General features: G+C 36.7%; 1 protein-coding gene across 40 annotated transcripts in view, besides 2 other annotated features; it reads left to right on the top strand.

Moving 5' to 3' along the window:
* DYM (dymeclin) overlaps nucleotides 1-21,050 on the top strand; it is a 424,259-nt gene that overhangs the window by 286,159 nt on the left and 117,050 nt on the right. For all 40 annotated transcript variants that reach the window (NM_001374439.1, XM_047437559.1, XM_047437553.1 and 37 more), the window contains one exon: nucleotides 10,700-10,802. In NM_001374439.1, the coding sequence (NP_001361368.1) occupies nucleotides 10,700-10,802 (103 nt within the window). The remainder of the gene's footprint in view (nucleotides 1-10,699; nucleotides 10,803-21,050) is intronic.
* Nucleotides 5,244-5,303: an enhancer, noted in NCBI's record as "active region_13307". NCBI's record gives its function as "activates an Ori minimal core promoter by ATAC-STARR-seq in GM12878 lymphoblastoid cells {active_cell/tissue: GM12878}" and the evidence as "EXISTENCE:reporter gene assay evidence [ECO:0000049][PMID:35858748]".
* Nucleotides 12,580-12,639: a silencer, noted in NCBI's record as "silent region_9446". NCBI's record gives its function as "represses an Ori minimal core promoter by ATAC-STARR-seq in GM12878 lymphoblastoid cells {active_cell/tissue: GM12878}" and the evidence as "EXISTENCE:reporter gene assay evidence [ECO:0000049][PMID:35858748]".

Here is a 21,050-nt window from a genome sequence, read left to right as displayed (position 1 = left end):
ATGAAGTAGTGTAATGAGTCCATGGTCTAGACTCGGATTACCAGGCTGTGAATTCTAGCTCTTCCATTTATGAATAGTATAGTCCTTGGCAAGTTAATTTACTTCTGTATGTCATCACTTATAATGTGATGTTAATAATAATACTGTCTTCATTAAGGAGCTGTATATTTAGTTAACAAATGTAAAAGGTTAGAGAGATGTGTGGCATAGAGCACATTCTCAGTAAGTGCTAGCTGCCATCATTCTTATCTACATCATCATCATAGAAAAAGATACCATTGGGACCCATCCTAGGAATTGTAAGTCTGGTTTAACATGCCATAATCAATCAGTACCATCCACTATTTTATTAGACTTAAAAAGAAAACTATATGATCATCTCAGTAGGTACAGAAAAAGCATTTGACAAAATTCAATGGCCATTTATGAAAAGAAATGAAACCAGCTTTCACATAACAAGGAATAGAGGGAATTTCTTCAACCTGACAAAGAGCATCAATGAAAACCTTACAGCTAAAATCATACTTAGTGAAAAATGATACTTTTCCCCTAAGATCAGGAAAATGGCAAGAATATGTACTCTGACCTTTATTCAGTATTGTACTATAGGTCCTAGCCAGTGCCATAAGTCAAGAAACAGAAATTTTTAATATCCAGATTAGAAAAGAAGATTTAGAACTATCTTTTAAATTTTATTAACTATTTAGCTATTTGCACAAGACATGAATATGTGTTTTAAAAGTCCTAATGAATCTACAAGAAACCTACTAGGATTGCTAAATGAGTTTAGCAGGATCATAGGACACAAAAAGGTCAGTATATAATAATTTTATTGTTGAATTTACTGTTAAATTTGTTATTGTCAGCATATAGCAAATTTATTTCTACATTCTTGCTATGAACAATCAGTAATTGAAAAATAATGCCATTTACGGCAGCATCAAAAATATGAAATAACTTAAGAATAGACTTAAAATACATTCAAGACCTGGTACACTGAAAACTATAAAACATTGCTGAAAGAAATTAAGGAAGACCTAAGTAAACAGGGTGATTTTATCCTCATGGATTAGAGACTTAGTATTGTTAAGATCCTGAAATTGATCTATACGTTGAACACAATCCTAATCAAAACCTTACCAGGTGATTTGGTAGAAAATGACAAGTTGATTCAATATTATACAAAGGACCTAGAATAGCCAAAAGCAATTTTGACAAAGCCTAAGTTGGAAGACTCACACTACCTGATTTCAAGATTTACTATAAAGCTGGTGTAATCAAGACAGTGGGATAATAGTGTATGACAGATTTATGGACCAATGGAATTGAATAGAATCAAGAAATAGACCAGTGCATATATGCTCAATGAAATTTCAACAAGGGTGCCAAGGTAATTTAAGGGGGAAAGGATAATCTTTTCAACAAATGGTACTGGAACAATTAAATAGCTATATGCACAAATTAAAAAAAAAACACCCAAACCAATTAAATAAATTGTGACTCTTCATGCCATATACACATATTAATGCAAAATGGATCATAGACATAAATATAAGAACTAAAACTATAAAACTTAAAACTTAACTGTAAAACTATAGAAGAAATCATAGAAAATCTTTGGGATCTTGGATTAGGCAAAGATTTCTTAGATAGGACATAAAAAACAAACAATTTTTTAAAAATGTGATGAACTGATGAATTTCATCAAATTTAAAATTTTTGCTCTTCAAAAGACACTGTTTTTTGAAGAAAATGAAAAAGACAAACTGCCCCACTACCACCACCCACAGGCCATAGACTGGGAGAAAATGTTTACAAAACTTATACCTGATAAAGAACTTGTATCCAGAATATATAAAGAACTCTTACAACTCAGGGAGAAGAAAAACAACCCATTGTTTTAAATGGGCAAAGATTTGAATAGACACTTCACCAAAGACAACATATGAGCACTAGAAAACTCATTTGGAAAATGCAAATTAAAACCACAAAGAAAATTACTTCACACCCACTAAAATGGCTAAAGTGAAAAAGACTGAAATGCCAAGTGTTAGCAAGAATGTGCAACGGTTTAGCAGTTTCTTATAGAGTGAAACAAATAACATACAATCCAGCAATCTTACTCATAGGTATGTATTCAAGAGAAATGAAAACATATGTTCACACAAAAACCTGTACAACTGTTTACAGCAGCCTTCTTAATAGACCAACACTGATAAATAAAGAAATCGAGGCACGTCTGTGCAATGGAAAACTACTCAGCAATAAAAAGGAATGAATTACTGATATACAAAACAGCATGGATGCATTTGAAAAGCATTATGCTGAGTGATAGATGGCAGACACAAAAGAGTACCTAAGGTATAATTCTATTTGCAGAAAATTTTAGAAAAGGCAACTACAGTGACAGGAAGCAGATCAGTGGTTGCCTGGAAGGGTGAGGGGAAGGGTATTGGAGCAGGAGATTGAGTGTAAAAGAGCCCAAGGAAACTTTTTGGGGTAATGGAAATGGTCTGTATCATTATTGTAGTGATGGATTACATGAATGTTTACATTTTTCAAAAACATTTTTCATTGCACTGTCTACTTAAAATTTGTGAGTTTTATTATATAAAGATTATTTCTCAATAAAGCTGATTAAAACTAAGGTAACCAGTAGCATAGGGCTGTCATTAAGGACCACCAGTGGTTCAGAAGCAGGGAGAGCACAGGTTTGAGAAATCTTTCCCAGAGGGTGTGGAATCGGTGGTATGGGGGCTGTAAGGACTTGTAGGAGAGGAGGAAGGAGGGGTGTCTACACGTAGAGGGAATCAGTGTCTACAGATGAGAGCATGACACTTGGTGTGAGATTTGGTTTGTAGCTCCCACTCCACCTCTAATAATTTTAATAGTTTTTTGGTTTTTTTAATTTTTTATTGTTTTACATTTTAGTAGCTCTTTAGGATTTATAAAGAACTTTTGTATTCACTACATAATGTAAATTTGATCACGGGTCAAGCACCTAACTCTCTACACCTAGGTTTCTTTATCTGTAAATCATCTGCTCCCAGGTCTTTTGTGGAGTTCAGTTACTTCTCTTTTCCCCTATGACTGCTGTTACTAGTGTGTTAGAGGAAGGACTGAGGCATGGAGAGAGAAGTTGGCTGAGAGTTGTGAGGATTGGCAGGGCTCTCATAGGAAATGTCTGAAACTTTCAAAGACAGAACCTCCACACCCCCTCCCAGTAAGTGACCTTTCTGTGATGCGTTCCCTTTACCTTCGGAGCATTACTCTAGCACTCTGCTCCCCAGCAATGTTCAACTTCTTAAAAATCTACACCTATTTTCTGTACTTCCTCACATCCTGCTTATTTCTCAAGCGCTGCAGTCCAGCTTCCGCCTCCTCCTCCCCTCTGACAGTGGATAAAGTCACCACTGATTTGTTTCCTTGTGCCAAATCCAGTGACTTCGTTTTTTGTTTTTTTGTTGTTGTTGGGTTTTGTTTTTGTTTGTACGTTTGTTTTTGGTAAATCCTACTTTACTATTTGACAGCTTTTAACAGTGATGATTATTTCCTCCTTAAAATTGTTCTCTTGGCTTCCAGAATGTCTTTCTTTCCTAGTTCTTCTCCTACTTCTTATTTAAGTGACCCTTTCTGGCCTCTGTTCACCCTTTCGGTCTTGGTGTTTCCCACAGTTGCTTTTTTTTTTTTTTTTTTTTTTTTTTTTGAGACGGAGTCTCACTTTGTTGCCCAGGCTGGAGTGCAGCACTTGAGAATCTCAGCTCACTGCAACCTCTGCCTCCCAGGTTCAAGAATTCTCCTGCCTCAGCCTCCTGAGTAGCTGGGATTACAGGCACGTGCCACCACGCCCAGCTAGTTTTTGTATTTTTATTAGAGATGGGGTTTCACCATGTTGGTCAGGCTGGTCTGAAATTCCTGACCTCATGATCCACCCGCCTCAGCCTCCCAAAGCGCTGGGATTACAGGTGTGAGCCAGCACACCCGACCTCATACAGTTCTTTCTTACATTACACAATATCCTTGGGTGATCACCTCCACTTTTGTGATTGCAGCTGATGCAAATAGCCTAAAATTTCTCCTCCCCTCTCTTCTGAGCACCAAATTAGTATTTCTAAACTGCCCATCTGCTTCTTTCTGACCATCTCCACCTGTTGTTCCTGAGCACCTGTAGGTTTCCTAGAAGATTTGTTAAGAGCACAGATTCTAGAGCCAGCAATGCTAGCATTGACTCCTGACTCCACCACTTAGCTGTGTGCCTGGGCAAATTACTCTCTCTGGTTCAATTCCATCATCTATTTATAAAAGGGGGAGGGAGAATGGATAATGGTAGGACCTACCTCACATGGTTGTTAGATGGACAGCACCTGATATATAACTCATAACTGCTGCTACTGTTATTAATTTCTTTTTCTTCCTGAGCGCTCTCCCTCCCTTTCAACTTGTTGTATTCCTAGCATGTCAGTCACCTTATCAGCTAGCCACTGTGTTTCCCAAGTTAGAGACCTCAGTCAGCCCTGATTCCCTTCTTTCCCGCTCCATGCTGTCTCTGCCTTCCACATAGCTCCCATTTGCTTTAAGGCATCCTCATCTCTTTATTTGGATAATATGGACGTTTCCTAAAGGTTCTGTTTCTAGTCTTGTTCACTTGTCATCTCCTGTCCATCCTTTTCTCCAGGAGCAGAGGAGTCTTTCTAAAACAAGTAGAATTTTATACACTTGGCCCACATTGCTCAGGTCAGTGGTTTTCAACCTTCGGTTCTAGGAGCCCTGAAGTTCCATGGTAGAGACTCTGTGGCCACCATAGATGGCAGGGCATAGGGAGGAGGCTTAGGACATAGAGGCACAAGGAGTAATCTGCCATCCTTACTGCTGAGCCCTGCCTCCCACCTCACACCTCAATACCAAACACAGCAGTTTTGCGTTGATCACTTTCTCATATTGTAGTCCTGCTTTCATAGAACACGTCTGGCTTTCAGGATGAAGTCCAAGGTCTGAGAGAGACATGAGGCAGTTGATAAGCCATCCTCACTGCTACCCAGCCTCATTGCTGTGCTCTGCTGTGTACTCAACACTTGATGCACGTGCAGTGCTGTTTCCCCCACCCACAGGACTCGTATTTCTCTGCCCAACTCACCTTTGTGATTGCCTGATTTGCTCAGCTGACTCCTAATTGTTTCTTAAGAAGCAGTGCAGGCATCATCTCCCAAAGTGATTGCCTCTTTCTCCCTTCAGGTGCAGTTGAGCAGTCCTCACCTGTGTTCCCCTAACATTCCATGTTCACCTCCAGTCTATTTAGGCACGTCCTTTTTCACCTGACTGCGCCCTCTGGGGAGGCAGGACAGAAACTGTGTTGCTTTTGCTTTCACATTGCCTGGCACATACTAGGCGCTGGGTAAATATTTGACTCACTGTCTGTCTCAATGGCTGAGCAAGATGAAATGCAGACCTCTTAGCATGGTCCATGTGGCCTTCTTATTTGGCCCCTCTTGTCTTACCGGCTTCATTTCTTGCCACTTCTCACCCCTGTGAGTTTTCTCTATTCTTGCCTTATAAGTTATGGGTATTTCCTTGAAATCTCCCAGTGCCTTTCTAAACACTTTCCCCCTTCTGAATTACTCTTCCTCCCCGTTTGCTTTTCCAAATAGCAAGTCCTCTAACCTTCAAGGCCACAGTCAAGATAGATTTCCTCTGTGGAATGCACCTAATCTTCCCCCTGTTCTCCCACAGTGCTCTCTTCAGACCCATGGAATTCTCTGATTTCAGTATTGTAAAAATTTTTTTTTTCTCATCCCAGTAGACTTGAGTTCCTTGGGGGCGGGGAGCCATGTCTCTTTCATTATTTTGTAAGAATTAGCTTCTCACTCCGAATAGAATAAAAGTCCAGGGCTTTTGATGTGCCATAAAGCGGCCCTTCACAGTCTGGCTTCAAACTGTCTTCATTCTGGTGTCATCTCCTGCCACCATCTGTGTACCCTACACTACAGCCATTTCCACCAGCTTGTGATTTTCTCAGCGTGTTCCCGTTTGGACTGACCACACTTATTCTGTTTACATGCTGCTTTCTTTTGTGAAATGCTGTCATTGGCAGGGGCTCTGTTTTCTTCAAGATAGCATGTTCTTTTTATCAGATTTTTAAAACGTTATATAATACTTCCTGCATACACAAAAAATAGAGCAATATACCACTCTCTCATGTATGTATCCAGTGTTACCTAAGAACATTTTATATATACTGTATATGTGTCCATATATATATATATAGAGAGAGAGGGAGTACTCATGTGAGAGCTGGACTCCCTTTTTCCTCCTTCCTCAGAGAACAGTGGCTATCCTAAGTGTAGGATTTATCATTTCCATATATATTTGATGTTATTAATATATTTTATCTGTAAATGATGTGTAATATTGTTTTTCATTTTAAAAACATAAAATCAGCTTGTTCATATTTTCTAAGGATTCCTGCTTATTTTTTTACTCAACATTGTTTTTGAGATTTATTCATATTCATACATGTAGCATTAGATAATTTTAAATTGCTGTATAATATTTCCTTGTATAACTATCCCACAGTTTATTTACCCATTCTGTTCTTGATTAGTGTTTTGGCTGTTTTCATTTTTTAAATTTGTAATGAACATTCTTATGCAAAAAGAAAAACTAGTCTTTTTCAAATTTTAAAAAAGTATTCTAGCAAATAGATCCCAGCTAAGTGAATATTAAGCTAACTTAAAGATCATTTTTATTTTTAAGACTGATTTTTAAAATCAAATTTATCCATTTACATACAAACATCATATATCTTTATTCCTTATTCTGATTAGCATTAAGCTGGGGGTAAGTACGTTGAATGCAAAGCTTTAAGCAAAAGTTACTCTTTTCACTAAGCAGTTTGCAAGTCATGTCTCGTATACATTTTGCCTTAAAAATGTTAAATAAAAGCCAAAATTATAATGTTTAAATAAAACTTTGAAAGTACTTGCTATAAGATTTTAGTAAAATGCCTGTTAAATTGTATGATAGTAACAAAGGAAGTGTGAATTCTCTGTTTCTCTTCGATGGAGAGCTGAATGTGACCTCAAATGATCTATTCTTACAGAGAATTTCTTAAAGATAGCTAGAAGCAGTATCCACAGCTTCTTGGGGTATACCATTTCAACATTTGTGTCCTTAGTAGTAAAATTTTCCATTATGCTCAACCAAAATATCTCATGTTTGAATTGAAGCTCACTTCCTTGTTTGGTGTCCTACTAGCAAGCAAAACAGAGTGTTCATACTCTCTTTTAAAATCAGTAAACAAACAAACTAGCCTTTCTTCTCTAAAAGAAACAGTTTCAAGTGTTTTTTGCTCTGGTCCCTAGGACTGTTTAATAATTTTCTTAAATTGATAATGAGAGTTACTATAGATCACCTCTATTGTTCTCTGATAGTGCACTAATAGGGGACACAGGCGCGCACACACACACACACACACACACACACACACACACACACACACACGGAATGTGAGAATGAACATCCCAGGTTTGCTAAACTCAGGAAGCACCTCCTGAGTTCTTATTTTTTCTTCAACTAAGCAAAGTATGCTGCTGTGCTTCACTTGTTCCATTTCTTCTTCCTAACACCAAGAAGCTCACTTCTTTCAGGCATATTTATTGCTTTTCTTTTTTTGTTTGGGTAGCCAATTTATGTTTTTGAGTCTTGCCACACCTTGTGCAAGAATTGACTACCCAAAGTTCTTTTAGCCTCAAAAAATTTCTGAAATTCCATTTATTCCAGAAAATATACTGCAACTAATTAGAAGCGTATTACTGATTTCCTTCTGTATGCATTTCCATGTAAACATGTCTTATAAACAATCCCAATTTTTTTACCTTTTTTTTTTTGCATCTCCTGCAAAATAATTTACATACTCGAAAATATGGACCCCCTAATGCAGTTCAGTATTATGTTCAGTTACTCTTACTCAGCAGTTTTGCTTCAGGCAATTTATCCAAAAGATAGTCTCACTCAGGCATGCTAAAACTTATTTACAAGGGTGTTCATTTCAATGCTGTTTATAATATAAAAATTTGGAAACAATTGCAGTGAGTGATTAATAATGGACTAAATAAATTACGGTATATCCATATCCTTTGATATCAAGTAACAGTAAACACTCATGTGTTTGTTGAATGAATGAAGGAATATATTGTTAGATAGACAAAGTGAAAGGTACAGCATAGTATATATTTCATGGAATAACAAAGATGGATATATATGTATACAGTATGCATTTGTTTACATGCATTAATGCATATAAGGTTTCTGGAATCATACACAATAAACTTAATATTAGTTATCAGTGGGTCATGAGAATAACGATGAGTGGAAAGTATGGTGTTTACGGTTAACCTTAAAAAGGAAAGATAAAGCAAAACTAAACCTCAAATGGAGAAGACCCAGAAAAATAAAATGATTGGAAAAAAGTGTGTGCTCTTATGTACTGAATTCTGTTTTCTACTTCTTGTATAGTACCTCCATTCCAATTTTCTTGCTCTCTCCTACTTTTGCCTCTGTGCTTTGCCTTCTATTTGGAAGTGGCTTTTATTCTCTCTTGCACAGATAACTCTTTCTTCTTTTTCAAGACATTGGGTAGGGCCTAAGGTGACCTTCATGAAACTTCACTGGAGTATTTCATTTCAGAAGTGTTTCATTTCAAAGAAATCGTTCGTTCAGATATATCCTCAGCATGTAACCAGTATCATAAAATTTCATACTTATTCATTCAGTAATTACTTCATGTAATTATTTTTCTTCCCACTTTATTTAAGTATAAATGTAAATAATATTCATTGCCTCTGTTATGTTTGTTTTGTACAACATCTAACATTACCAATAAATGTTAAGGAATTTTTTTCCTTGATGATATGAGTTGAAACTTAATCTACAAAGACTACTTAGTGGCCCTGTCTTCAATGGATATCCTTTTTAAACCATCTGAAATAATTACAGATTTTCCTAAATTGATATTTAAATATTTTATTTGTAAGGGGATTACTAAATACTACAGTGAAGTTTTGGCATAAAAAAATACTAAAGGCCATACTTCAGATTTTTATGGGAAGTACATGGAATCAGAATTGCCTTTGTTTTTAAGCTGCCATCTATCCCAAAGAAGAATCCTTTCTTTATTTGATACAATAAATTTAATATTGGGATCATATAATTATAATACATACCTCTGAAGTTCTTTTATTAGGCACATAAGTATTTAGGATTGTTATGTTTTCATGGTAAACTGGCTTTCATCATTATAAAATCTCCCTCTTTATCTCTAGTAATAATAATATTGTTCTTAAGCCTACTTTGTCGGAAATTAACATGGCCATTCCAACTTCCTTATGATTAATGTTTTTATAGTATGTCTTTTTTGTATCCTTTTGTTAACTTGTCTGTATCTTTAAATTTACAAATGTGTCTCTTTTAAACTGCACATGGTTGGGTCTCGCTTTTTTATCCAGTCTGAAAATCTCTGACATTTAACTGGAGTGTTTAGTGCATTTATATTTAATGTAAATCAACTGTATTCTTTGAAGATTGTTTGTTTTGCTCTATTAGGGTGCCTCTTAGAATAAAGTAATTTGCACTCTAGAATAGAATAGTCTGACTCCTAAAGCATGGCCTTTCTAAGCATTCAACTAAATGTTCATGTTCATTGATTTTTATCTTCTGGCTGGTTGGAGCTCCAATATCCCTCAGTCTGTTATGGTCCCCAAAATCTCTGTTTAATTTACAGCTCCTGGGTAGTTGTTTACTGCCACACCTTGTGGAGTCTTGCTCTGCACATTACAGCTTAACATTTATACAAACATTCAAGAAGACACTTGGATTTCTGGACCTGCTTTCTGGAAATTCTCTCCTCTCTAGTATTCCACCTTGCAAAATGCAGTTGCCACAGCAGTGTTAAATTCCTCTCTCTGCCTTAGCTCAGCACAACACTGCTGTGTACTCTTTGGGTCCCACCTTCCTGGACCATAGTCTGCAATGTTCCTCGAGACAGAAGCTCACCATTATGGGGCTCATCTTCATCTCCCTTTTGTTAGGGATTATAATCCTTTACTTCACATGTTGTGTTACATCTGAAAACAGTTGTGTCATTTTTTTTTTTTAGTTTTCAGTTAGTGATAGCAGGAGAGTTAGTCCAGTATCAGTTAATCTGTCATGGCCAGAAGCAGAAATCTTATAAAACATTTTGAATCATTATTTTTGAGAAATAAAGCTATAATACAGAACCATAGACTCTGTATGACAGTAGAGAAATAATCTTGTCCAACACACTTTTTCAGAAGATGAGAAAATACACAAGCTCAAGTGACTTGTAGTAGATTGCACTATGAGTTAGTCATAGTCTACATCTCAGGTTTTTGCCACTATTCTTTTCCCTATAGTAATCTTATGAAAAATGCTCCTGTGTTTGAAACATAATTTTAAACTGTCATTAAAAAATTTTTTAGAATTCTTATGATTTAAACATCCTCCCCACTCCTTTTTTCTTACATAAATACTATTATTAATCTTGCTGTTAACACAGGCATGAAGAAAGAATCATTTACAAGTATATTTTAGAATAATTGACATGCTGTGGAACTATATATTTCCACAGAAGACAGAAAAGAAAACAGTTCCTTTAATATAATTGGTTTTTTGTTTGTTTTTCCAGTTTATTTTCTTTGCTGTCTAAAAAACACAACAAAGTTCTGGAACAAGCCACACAGTCCTTGAGAGGTTCGCTGAGTTCTAATGATGTTCCTCTACCAGATTATGTAAGTAGTTACCTTATTCATCAATAAAAAATTTTCCTTTCAGCCAGGCACAGTAACTCCTGCCTGTAATCCCAGCACTTTGGGAGGCCGAGGCAGATGGATCACTTGGTCGGGAGTTCAAGACCAGCCTGGCCAACATGGTGAAACCCCATCTCTACTAAAAATGCAAAAATTAGCCGGGTGTGGTGGTGCACACCTGTAGTCCCAGCTATTTGGGAGGCCGAGGCAGGAGAATCACTTGAATCCGGGAGGCAGAGGTTGCAGTGAGCTGAGATCATGCCCCTGCACTGTAGCCTGGGTGACACAGTAAGACTCTGCATCTCAAAAAAATAATAAATAAATAAATTATTTCATTGTAAAATTTATAATAGCATTACCCCTCTCTTCTCAAGATTTTACTGTGCTGAAAATCTTTGCTGCCCAAGAAACCTCTAATATGCAAATAGAAGAATGATGTCTCAAATCAAGGGAACAAGTTGTAAATGATTGTTAACAAGTGGTTGAAGAAAATCAACCTTAAACCAATAATTTGTACATAATTAAGAATCTTTATATCTGAGTTGAGAAACCCACTCAAGCTAATAACACAAAAACAAAAGCAGGGATGATTTTATAGGAAGTATGCAAAGATTCCTTATTGAACTTAAGGGGAGCAAGTACACCTGGATTTCCCAGAGATCTGGAACCTAAAATTGAAAAGCCATTGGGTCCTGTTTTGGGGGTCATTTCGTTTCTGGTCTCTGCTTCCTTTTGCTTCTGCTTTATTCTGCTGCTGCTTTCTACCATCCAGGTTTATCTGTTTGCTTACTTGGACCTAAAATAGCAACCCCAGCCCTTCCTCTTCTTCCCTCCAACCTTGTGAGTGCAGTGCCTTTAGCTGTCTTAAAGTCTTAAAGTCCTCATTCTCAATTCCTGAGAAAGAGAATCTAATTGGCTCTGCTCTCATCAGGGTGTGACTCCAGTCTTACCAGACATGGTCAGAAGAGAGCAGCAGTAACATGTGGCCTTTGTTCCATCCACCTTAATGACGAAGAGTTTATTACCAACTGCTACGGTTGAATGTGCCATCCAAAACTCATGTTGAAACTTAATCCCCAGTGTGGCAGTATTGAGAAGTGGGACCTTGAATAGGTGATTGGATCCCTTATAAATGGATTAATGAATTCATGGATCAATAGATTAGTGAGTTAATGGATTAATAGGTTAGCATAGGAGGGGAACTAGTAGCTTTATAAGAAGAGGAAGAGAGACTTGAGCTAGCATGTTAGCATGCACTGTGTGATACCCTGCATCATCTTGGGATGCCACAGAGAGTCACCACTAGCAAGAAGGTTCTCACCAGCTGCATCTCCTTGACCATGGCCTTCCCAGCCTCCATAACTGTATAAATTCCTTTTTCTTTATAAATTACCTAGTTTCAGGTATTCTGTTCTAACCGACAGAAAATGCACTAAGACATCACCTGACCTTAGAGGATGCTGATGGAATAGAATAGAAACAGCACAGGGGTGAGCATAATATAATAATAGGAAAGAGAATGTGTTATAAATTTTCTTAAAGTAGTGTGACTACCTGTGACATTTCTTATATTTTGGAATATGGCTTTGATGAAGATGCTAAAAATTATCTTGCCATTAACCACAGGAGAAGTTCATCAAGTTCTAATAAGGACAGCTCTAAATCTCCAGACAACAACATAGTGGATTGGTATTTAGAAACTTTATTAGAGAACTCTTTAGTTCTGAGTTTGCAGTGATGATGCATACCAGACAGCTGTAGAGTTGCCTTGCTTCTTTCCTGTGGTTTGTTTCATTTCTAAATGGTTGTCCTGATATGAGACTGTGGGAACAGTACCCAGTCCAGATATCAGTCAATGATAAACAAAGATAGCTGTGTGCAGCCACAGCCTGACTGGTGCTAGTTTTTTCTCGTGTGTGTGTGGGTATGTGATGTCACAATCTGTCATCCCCTTAAGGTATTAAGTTTATAATTCCAAAATGTATCTTTTAAGATTTTCCTGTTAAGTTGAATGTTCTAATTTTTTAATTAGCATAACAGCTCGCTTAATTCTACACTTGCCATACCTGTGATAAGAAAAATATATCTAGTAACTGTTTAGAAACCCTATCGGGGCCAGGGTGGCAATGGGGAGTTGGGTTTACCAAAAACTTGAATTTGGGTCATCTGCAAATGTTTTGTTATTTATAAGCAATTATTATTTGATTTATGTAGTATTCCTGTGCCATTTACTCCACAAAAATGTGTTGAATATGTATAGTTCTGAAGTTCTGATGTTGCCTTAGTAGCATTCTTCTTTAATCAGAGATCTATAAAATTAATATTTGAGGAAATAGGTCATATTTACTGGTATTTGCCAACCATGGAGGTAATTATGCCATGATAGGACAATTTGAATTTGTAACAGTCCTGTGAATTCTGCTACTGAAGTTTACAGATTTTAGAGTCACTGATTGAATATTTTCTTCTTGTATAAAATTTTCACTAAGTAAAAATGAATTTCTTAAAGCATCTGCTTCTAGAAATAGTGGGAAAATTCCATTTGGAATCTGTCATTGACAATCCTTTTTTTTTTTTTTCTTAACATTTATGTGTATGAGACTTTGTAAATCACAACATTTTCCAAATGGGTTTATGAACTTGAATTTTGCTGCCTTTTCTCAGATTTAATTGAAGAGAATGGTTAGCACTGATTCAGTAGGAGAGATGACTGTGAATCACTCCTGATAGAGACCTGAAAGGTGATTAAACAAACAGCAGTAACCTTAAAAATAAGCACCGTTGTATGTTCTTTCATGATACTTCAATGTTTTGTTGGTCATTCCCATTGCTCAAAACACTGTTGTATAAGTGATTTACACATTTGAAACCATTTTCTCTTTTACATTAGTCATTAACTGGGAAAATGAACATGTTCCTTCCTTTTCTTTCACAGAAGTTTTACTTAAGTACCTTTGCCAGTAACCACATAAAATTCTGTGTCCTGGACTAATGCTTTAAACCACTTGTTGGTAAAAGATGAAAAAGGAAAATGAGAAGGTCTTAATGCAGCAGTGGATTCCTAGATGTGTACTTTTTTTTTTTTTTTTTGAGACAGAGTCTCACGACGTGTACTTTCTACACCAAGACTGAATGTACTGTATTAGCAGAGTTTGAATAAGTACTTAAAAATAAGGACATGTTTTTCTTCTCACTGTAGTACATAGAGTACTTTCAGTCTACCTAGAGATTTCTAAGTTTATTAAGAAAATGTTTATCCTCATTATACTGTATAATTCACAAATCAGTTGAGTAACAACATAGAAAGCTAATCGCAAGTTCCAAAAACATTAGTATTAGTACTTTAGTGCAACTATGTTGGTCTGAACATCTCTAGGGAAACCTGAAACCTTCAACTGAGTTCCAGATAATGAGGAAACTGCCCTGGCTGTTTAAGGGGAAATAAAACAAAAATTGTACTCAAGCCTGTGGGGGGAGAGAATGCCACTACAGGGGCAGTAAGGGAGTTTAAGAAAGCAAATAAAGTTCCATTGACTTGGCTTTGCTTTGGTGTTTGTATGATCAGGATTACATACAATTTAATTCAGTGACTAACAGGGACAGGAGAGAATTGTTAAAGGAGAATCTTTCAACAGATTTTTTTTTAATAAAAATGAACTGAACTTTCAGAGAAGTTTGGTCATATATAACCAAATATGGAACCTGAATATAGAAAATGAAACAAAGATAATAAATCAGTTATGAATGCTTTTTAAGCTATAACCATATGAATATTTATAACCAATGAGGAATATTGTTACTGTACCATATAAGCTTTGTTTCCCTAGTTCCTAACAATTTAACTTTTATTCTAGTTGCAACCATAAGGAACCAAATTATATTGCCCTGTGGTCATCAAATAACTTTGAATCTTTCTGTAGGACTGACTCTACCACCTAACTCCAAAATGTAGAGATTGGGTCTCACTATATTGCCCAGGCTGCTCTTGAACTCCTGGCCTCAAGTGATTGTCCTGCCTTGTCTTCCCAAGGTGCTAGGATTACAGGCATGAGCCACTGTGCCCTACAGATAGCTTGCTTCTAAACTGTAACTTTCTAAAGAGTAAAAGCCATCCATATGAAATTTATTTTCATCAAGTCATGATCACTTATTATTATCATTCTATATGGAATTCTAAGATACCGTTAACTCTGGACTATATCACTGGCTGACCTTTTGACTTCATAGCTTTTATTAATAATCTTTTAGACCTTGTTTACAAACTTTTAAATCTGCTTTCAGACATTTAGTTTCTTCAGAAATGTATTATAGGATATTCTGATCTGATTTTCATATGACAAAATTTAAATTCAGAGATGTTTCTATTTTCCACCCCATCCTTTTTAGGTTGTTCTATTATTAAGATTCTGTGTGGTGTTTACTCTTTAACTTAGATCTCAAATTCATTTGACTCAATAGTTGATGGATAAATAATATTGAAAACTATCTTCAGTCAATTGTTTTGTACAATGTTTGTGCCTTTACTGAGCTAGTGTTAAAATGCCCCTTTGTACACACACGTACATAAATAATACAAAGATATACATACATATTGTTTGTATATAATGGTATTAGAGTATTCTTTTTTAAATTTTTATGGGTAGATAGTAGATGTATATATTTATAGGGTACATGAGATATTTTAATACCCACGTACAATGAGTAATATCAGGATGAATGGGGTAACCATTTATCCTTTCTTTGTGTTACAAACAATCCAATTATGCTCTTTTAGTTATTTCAAAATGTACAATAAATTATTGTTAGCTGTAATCACCCTGTTGTGCTATTATCAAATACTAGATCTTCTTGATTCTATCCAACTATATTTTTTTACTCCTTAATCATCCCCTCCCTGCCCCAACTACCCTTCGCAGCCTCTGGTAACCATCCTTCTTGTTAAGTGAAACAAGCCAGGCACAAACAAACAAACATCACACGTTCTTACTTATTTATGGGAGCTAAAAATTAATACAACTGAACTCATGAAGACAGAGAGTAGAATAATGGTATTAGTTCTTGATGGAAATGTCCCTTAAAGATTTTTCTGGAAGATTTAAAGGCTGGGGTAGGTAATTTAACACTTATATAACATGGGAACAGTTATCTTAGTAGGTATGCTGTCATATCCAAGAAGTTTGAAAAGCTGAAATTTGTTACTCTTAAAACAGCTCCTTTCACATGTTGTCACTTTTGACAATTGCTTTTGGGGGTCAACTTTTCATGCATTTATTCTAGTGATGATAACAGCAATCAGAATATTATTAAAACTTTTGTTTTACATTACTTTACCATGGTATAAGAGGTAAAAATGAAGAAGGCATAGTACCTACTTACAGGATAGTTAAAACAGATACACAACTAAAATACAATTCAACATATAACCAATTTTATAAAAGCTACAGAACCAAACTTGTGGGTTGTCAGAAGAGAAAGTGAGAGAGAAAAACTTTTAGGAAGAAGGGGAGGTACTGTGGCAGTCTTCATTGAAAGGAGTTGAAATTTGAGCTGGGTAATATTTTTCAAAGGAGAGATTCAGGCAGGAAAACATTCCAGGTGTTATGCTTCTTCAAAGAGGGCATGAAAGTGAAAAATGGTCTTGTGTCATTGTCACTGAGTTGTTTGTATCCAGCACAGTGTCTGGTGTATAATAGGTGTTCAGTAATTATTTGTCACCCCTCACTCATTCTATACACAAGAATTAACTCAAAATGGACCATAGACCTAAATGTCAGAGCCAACATTATACAACTTTTAGAATAAAATATGATTAAACCTTCATGACTTTGGGTTAGGCAAAGACTTCTTAGGTGATGCCAAAAACTCAAGTGACAAAAGAAAAATAGATAAATTAGACTTCATCAAAATTTAAAACTTTGTGTTTCAAAGGATGCAATTAAGAAAGCAAAAAGACAATCTACAGAATGGGAGAGGATATTTGCAAATAATCCATCTGATAAGGGACTAGTATCTATAATATGTGAAGAGATCAATAATAAAAAGATAATGGAATTTTAAAATGGGCAAATATTATATTTTGTGAACTGGTTCTGTGGCTTGTGACCTGTGTGGCCTTAAGTATGTCATTTTGCCTCACTGGGCCTCAATTACCTTTTCTGTACTATGATGGCCAGAACCAAAAAGACAAATAATAATGAGAATTGAACACCTGGGGTTCTTTTGAGGATTAAATGAATGAGGTAGGATCCTTGGCATGAAGCAAGTGCTTGATAAGGTTAGCTATTACAGTTATGCCATGCTGCCTATGTGTGGGAGAGACAGTCTGGGACCACAGGTGTTAGTTCAGAAGATGGAACTGTCTCTGAGCTCTTTAGTGCAGAAAGAGCTTCTGCAGGAGGAGGAGTGGTGTGATATTAGATGGAGAGGTAGAGATCACAACAGCCAGCAGTCACTAACTACAGGTGAGCAGCAACATCCGGAGGATTTTCTAATCTGTCTGGGAACATCTGGGTAGTTACTTGACATCACAGCGTGTACCTGAACCCCAAAGATGGACTCCCTCTTCCCAGGGTGCTTCCTGACCTTGGAATTCCCAAGGTCAGGCATGTCCAGGAGCCCCAGAAATAAGCCAAACCAGAGTGACCACCAAGAACAAAGAAATGGGGGCCATGTTGGCAGGCTTCCTGTCAACCAGCTGCTTTTCCTGAATGCCAGGCATGTGCCAGGCACCCCACTTTAGGTGAGGCAAAGACTTTAGGTGAGGCAGAGACTGGCCAGATGCTCCACAAAACCCATTTCCTCTCCCTGATTACACAGCAAAGCAACATTTTCCAGCTCCCTTGCATCTAGGAGGGGGGCATATGACTAGCTCTAAGTCAGTGGAATGTAGGTAGAAATGCTGTCTTCCACACTTTTTTTTTTTTTTTTTTTTTTTGAGACAGCGTTTTCACTCTGTCGCCCAGGCTGGAGCACAGTGGCATGATGTCAGCTCACTGCAGCCTCTGCCTCCTGGGTTCAAGCAATTCTCCTGCCTCAGCCTCCCAAGTAGCTGGGACTATAGGCATGCACCACCACGCCCTACTCATATTTGTATTTTTAGTAGAGACAGGGTCTCATCATGTTGGCCAGGCTGGTCTCGAACTCCTGACCTCAGGTGATCCACCCACCTCAAACCCCTGAAGTGCTGGGATTACAGGCGTGAGCCACCACGCCTGGCCATTTTTTGTTGTTGTTTTTTTTGAGGGGGGGGCGTGGTTTGAGTGTGTCTTCCACACTTCTCTTTTCTCATCATTTGCTGGCTGGTTGCAGGAGACCCAGTGGGAGATTCCAAGTTCCCACAGGATAACATTTTCTGGATCCCTGGATCCTCTCACGGAAGGCCAACTGAGCATCTTGTTGGACTGTGATGCAAGTTAGCAATAAAATTTTTACTGCATTTTTTAAATGGGAAAAATCTTAATAGACATTTTTCCAAAGAAGATATAAAAAGTGGCCAATTAGCACATCAAAATATACTCAACATCATTGGCTATTAAGGAAATGCAGATCAAAACCATGAGATACCACTTCACACATCTATTTTGATGGCCAGAATAAAAAGGCAGATAATAACAAGTGTTGGTGAAGATGTGGAGAAATTAGAATCCTCATGTACTGCTCATGGGAATGTTATATGGTGCAGCCATTTTAGTTCATCAGTAATTAAACACAGAGTTGTCACATGATAGAGAAATTTCATTTCTGGGTTTACATACAAATGAATTGAAAACATATGTCTACCTGAAAATGCACATGTTCATAGAACCATTATTTGCAATAGCCAAAAATGGAAACAACTGAAGTGTCCATCAGAAGACAAATGAATAAATAAAATGTGGTGTATCCATACCATGTGAGATACCATGTGAGATACTACTAGCCCTTCTCAGTGCATCATACGATAAAAAGGAATTAAATGCTGATACATTCTTAATCATGGATGAACCTTGAAAACATTATGCTAAGTGAAAGGAGCCAGTAACAAGGCCACTTATTGTTTGATCTCATGTATATGGAATGTCCAGAATAGGCAAATCTTATAGAGGTAGATAGTAGATGCCTTAGGGCTGGAGTGTGAAGCAGAATGAGGTGTGACTACTAATGGGCACAGAGTTTATTTTGGGAGGTGATGAAATGTTTCAAAATTAGGCTGTGGTGATATTTGCACAACTCTGTGAATATACCAAAAACCATTCAATCATACTTTAGATTGGTGAAGTATATGGTATATGAATTGTATCTTGATGAAGCCATTGAAAAAAAAGTAGTGCTTTGAGCACGGGGGGAAAAAGAGAGCTATTTGTTGGGTGTGTGTACTAGTAGATAAAGATCAGCATGGCTAGCATTATGGCACAAAGGTGAATGTAGGAAAATAAATCTTGTACTTTGAAATAATTAATATTTTAAGGAGGCAAAATATGTTTGAGTGATTTGACTTTAGAAACTGCGAAAGTCAGCTAGATATGCAGTTCCACAAAGGTGTGTATATTCTTCAACCTTGTTTAAGAACAAAAAATAGAAATAAGCAAAATATCCCTCAATAAGGGACTTATTAAATAAAGTATAAATTCATCCAATGCAGTATTCTACAGCTATTTTTTAAATGAAATCAATCTACATGGGTTTATATGAAAAGATACCCATGATATATAAACCAGTAAGAAAAATACTTTATAGCATGTAGTTTATACATACATGTATGCTTGAAAATTATGCATTAAATTTTTCAATAATGCACAACTATTAAATAATGGTTACTTCTGGGGAGTCAGACTGAAAGATCTCAAAGAAAAAAGAATAACATACTTTTTACTTTATATTCTTCTTTGTAGGTGTAGATCTTGAATTTCTGTCAAGTATACATGCAACTTGCTTTCCCTCCATTCCTCCATTAAGATAATTTTAGACTTATAGAGATGTTTTAAAGAATTTCCAGCTGGGCGCATTGGCTCACACCTGTAATCCCAGCATTTTGGGAGGCAGAGGCAGGTGGATCACCTGAAGTCAGGAGTTGGACATCAGCCTGAACAACGTGGTGAAACCGTGTCTCTACTAAAAATACAAAAATTAGCTGAGCATGGTGGCACACGACTGTAATCCCAGATATTCGGGAGACTGAGGCCGGAGAACTGCTTGAACCCAGGAGGCGGAGGTTGCAGTGAGCTGAGATTGCGCCATTGCACTCCAATCTGGGCGACAAAAGCGAAACTCTGTCTCAAAAAAAACAAAAATGAATTTTCATATATACTTCACCCAATTCTCCCTTTTGCTAATATCTTACATGATCATGTAACATTTATCAAAATAAAGGAATTAATACTGGTACATTACTGTTAACTTTAATAACAATCTCATTCAGATTTTACAATTTTAACATTAATGCCTATTCTTTTCTGGGACCCAACCCAGGATCCCATATTAAATTTCCTTGTCATGTCTCCTAAGTCTTTCTTGTCTTTCATGACCTCAACACTTCTAAAGACTACTAGTCAGTTATTTTGTGGAATATCCCCCAATTTGGATTTGGCTGGTGTTTTCTCATGATTAGATTGAGGTCATGCATTATTGACAAGGATTGGGAAGAGGTGAGCCCTTCTCAGTGCATCATACTGGGAAATACATGATATTGATATGTATTACTGGTGAGGTTTACCTTGACCATTTTGCTAAGGTGAGGTATGCCAGGGTTTTTTACTGTAAATTTGTTATTTTTCTCTTTGTAATGACTATATATTTTGGGGAGATACTTTAAGACTATGCCAATATCCTGTTTCTGCTTACAAATTTTCCCACAAATTTTGAAATCCACTGATGGATCTTGCCTGCAGCATATATCACTGATTTACTAGTGATTTTCTTTTTTTCTCATTCCTTCTGCCATTATTAATAGAATTCTATAAGGAAGAGTTGTCACTTCTCCCTCGTGTATTTACTTATTCAATTATTTATTTCTATCAGTTTGGACACATGGATCCTTGTTTTATTCTGTGTGTTATAACCAATACTGTTATTATTCTGTTGCTCACATTGTTCCAGCTTTGGCCATTGGGAGCTCTTTCATGTTGTGTCCTCTGCCCTCTCAGTTTACTCTTATCTTTTTTTGAGACCATCAAGATGCTCCAGTTCATCGGGTATTTTCTCTGCCCCAGCCCTGGAATCAACCATTTCTCCAGGAGGATCATGAAATTTGGA

This window comes from Homo sapiens, chromosome 18 (genome assembly GCF_000001405.40).
Source record: "Homo sapiens chromosome 18, GRCh38.p14 Primary Assembly".
NCBI lineage: Eukaryota > Metazoa > Chordata > Mammalia > Primates > Hominidae > Homo > Homo sapiens.
Note: the sequence above shows the minus strand (reverse complement) of the source record. Positions and strands in the feature narration are given on the sequence as shown.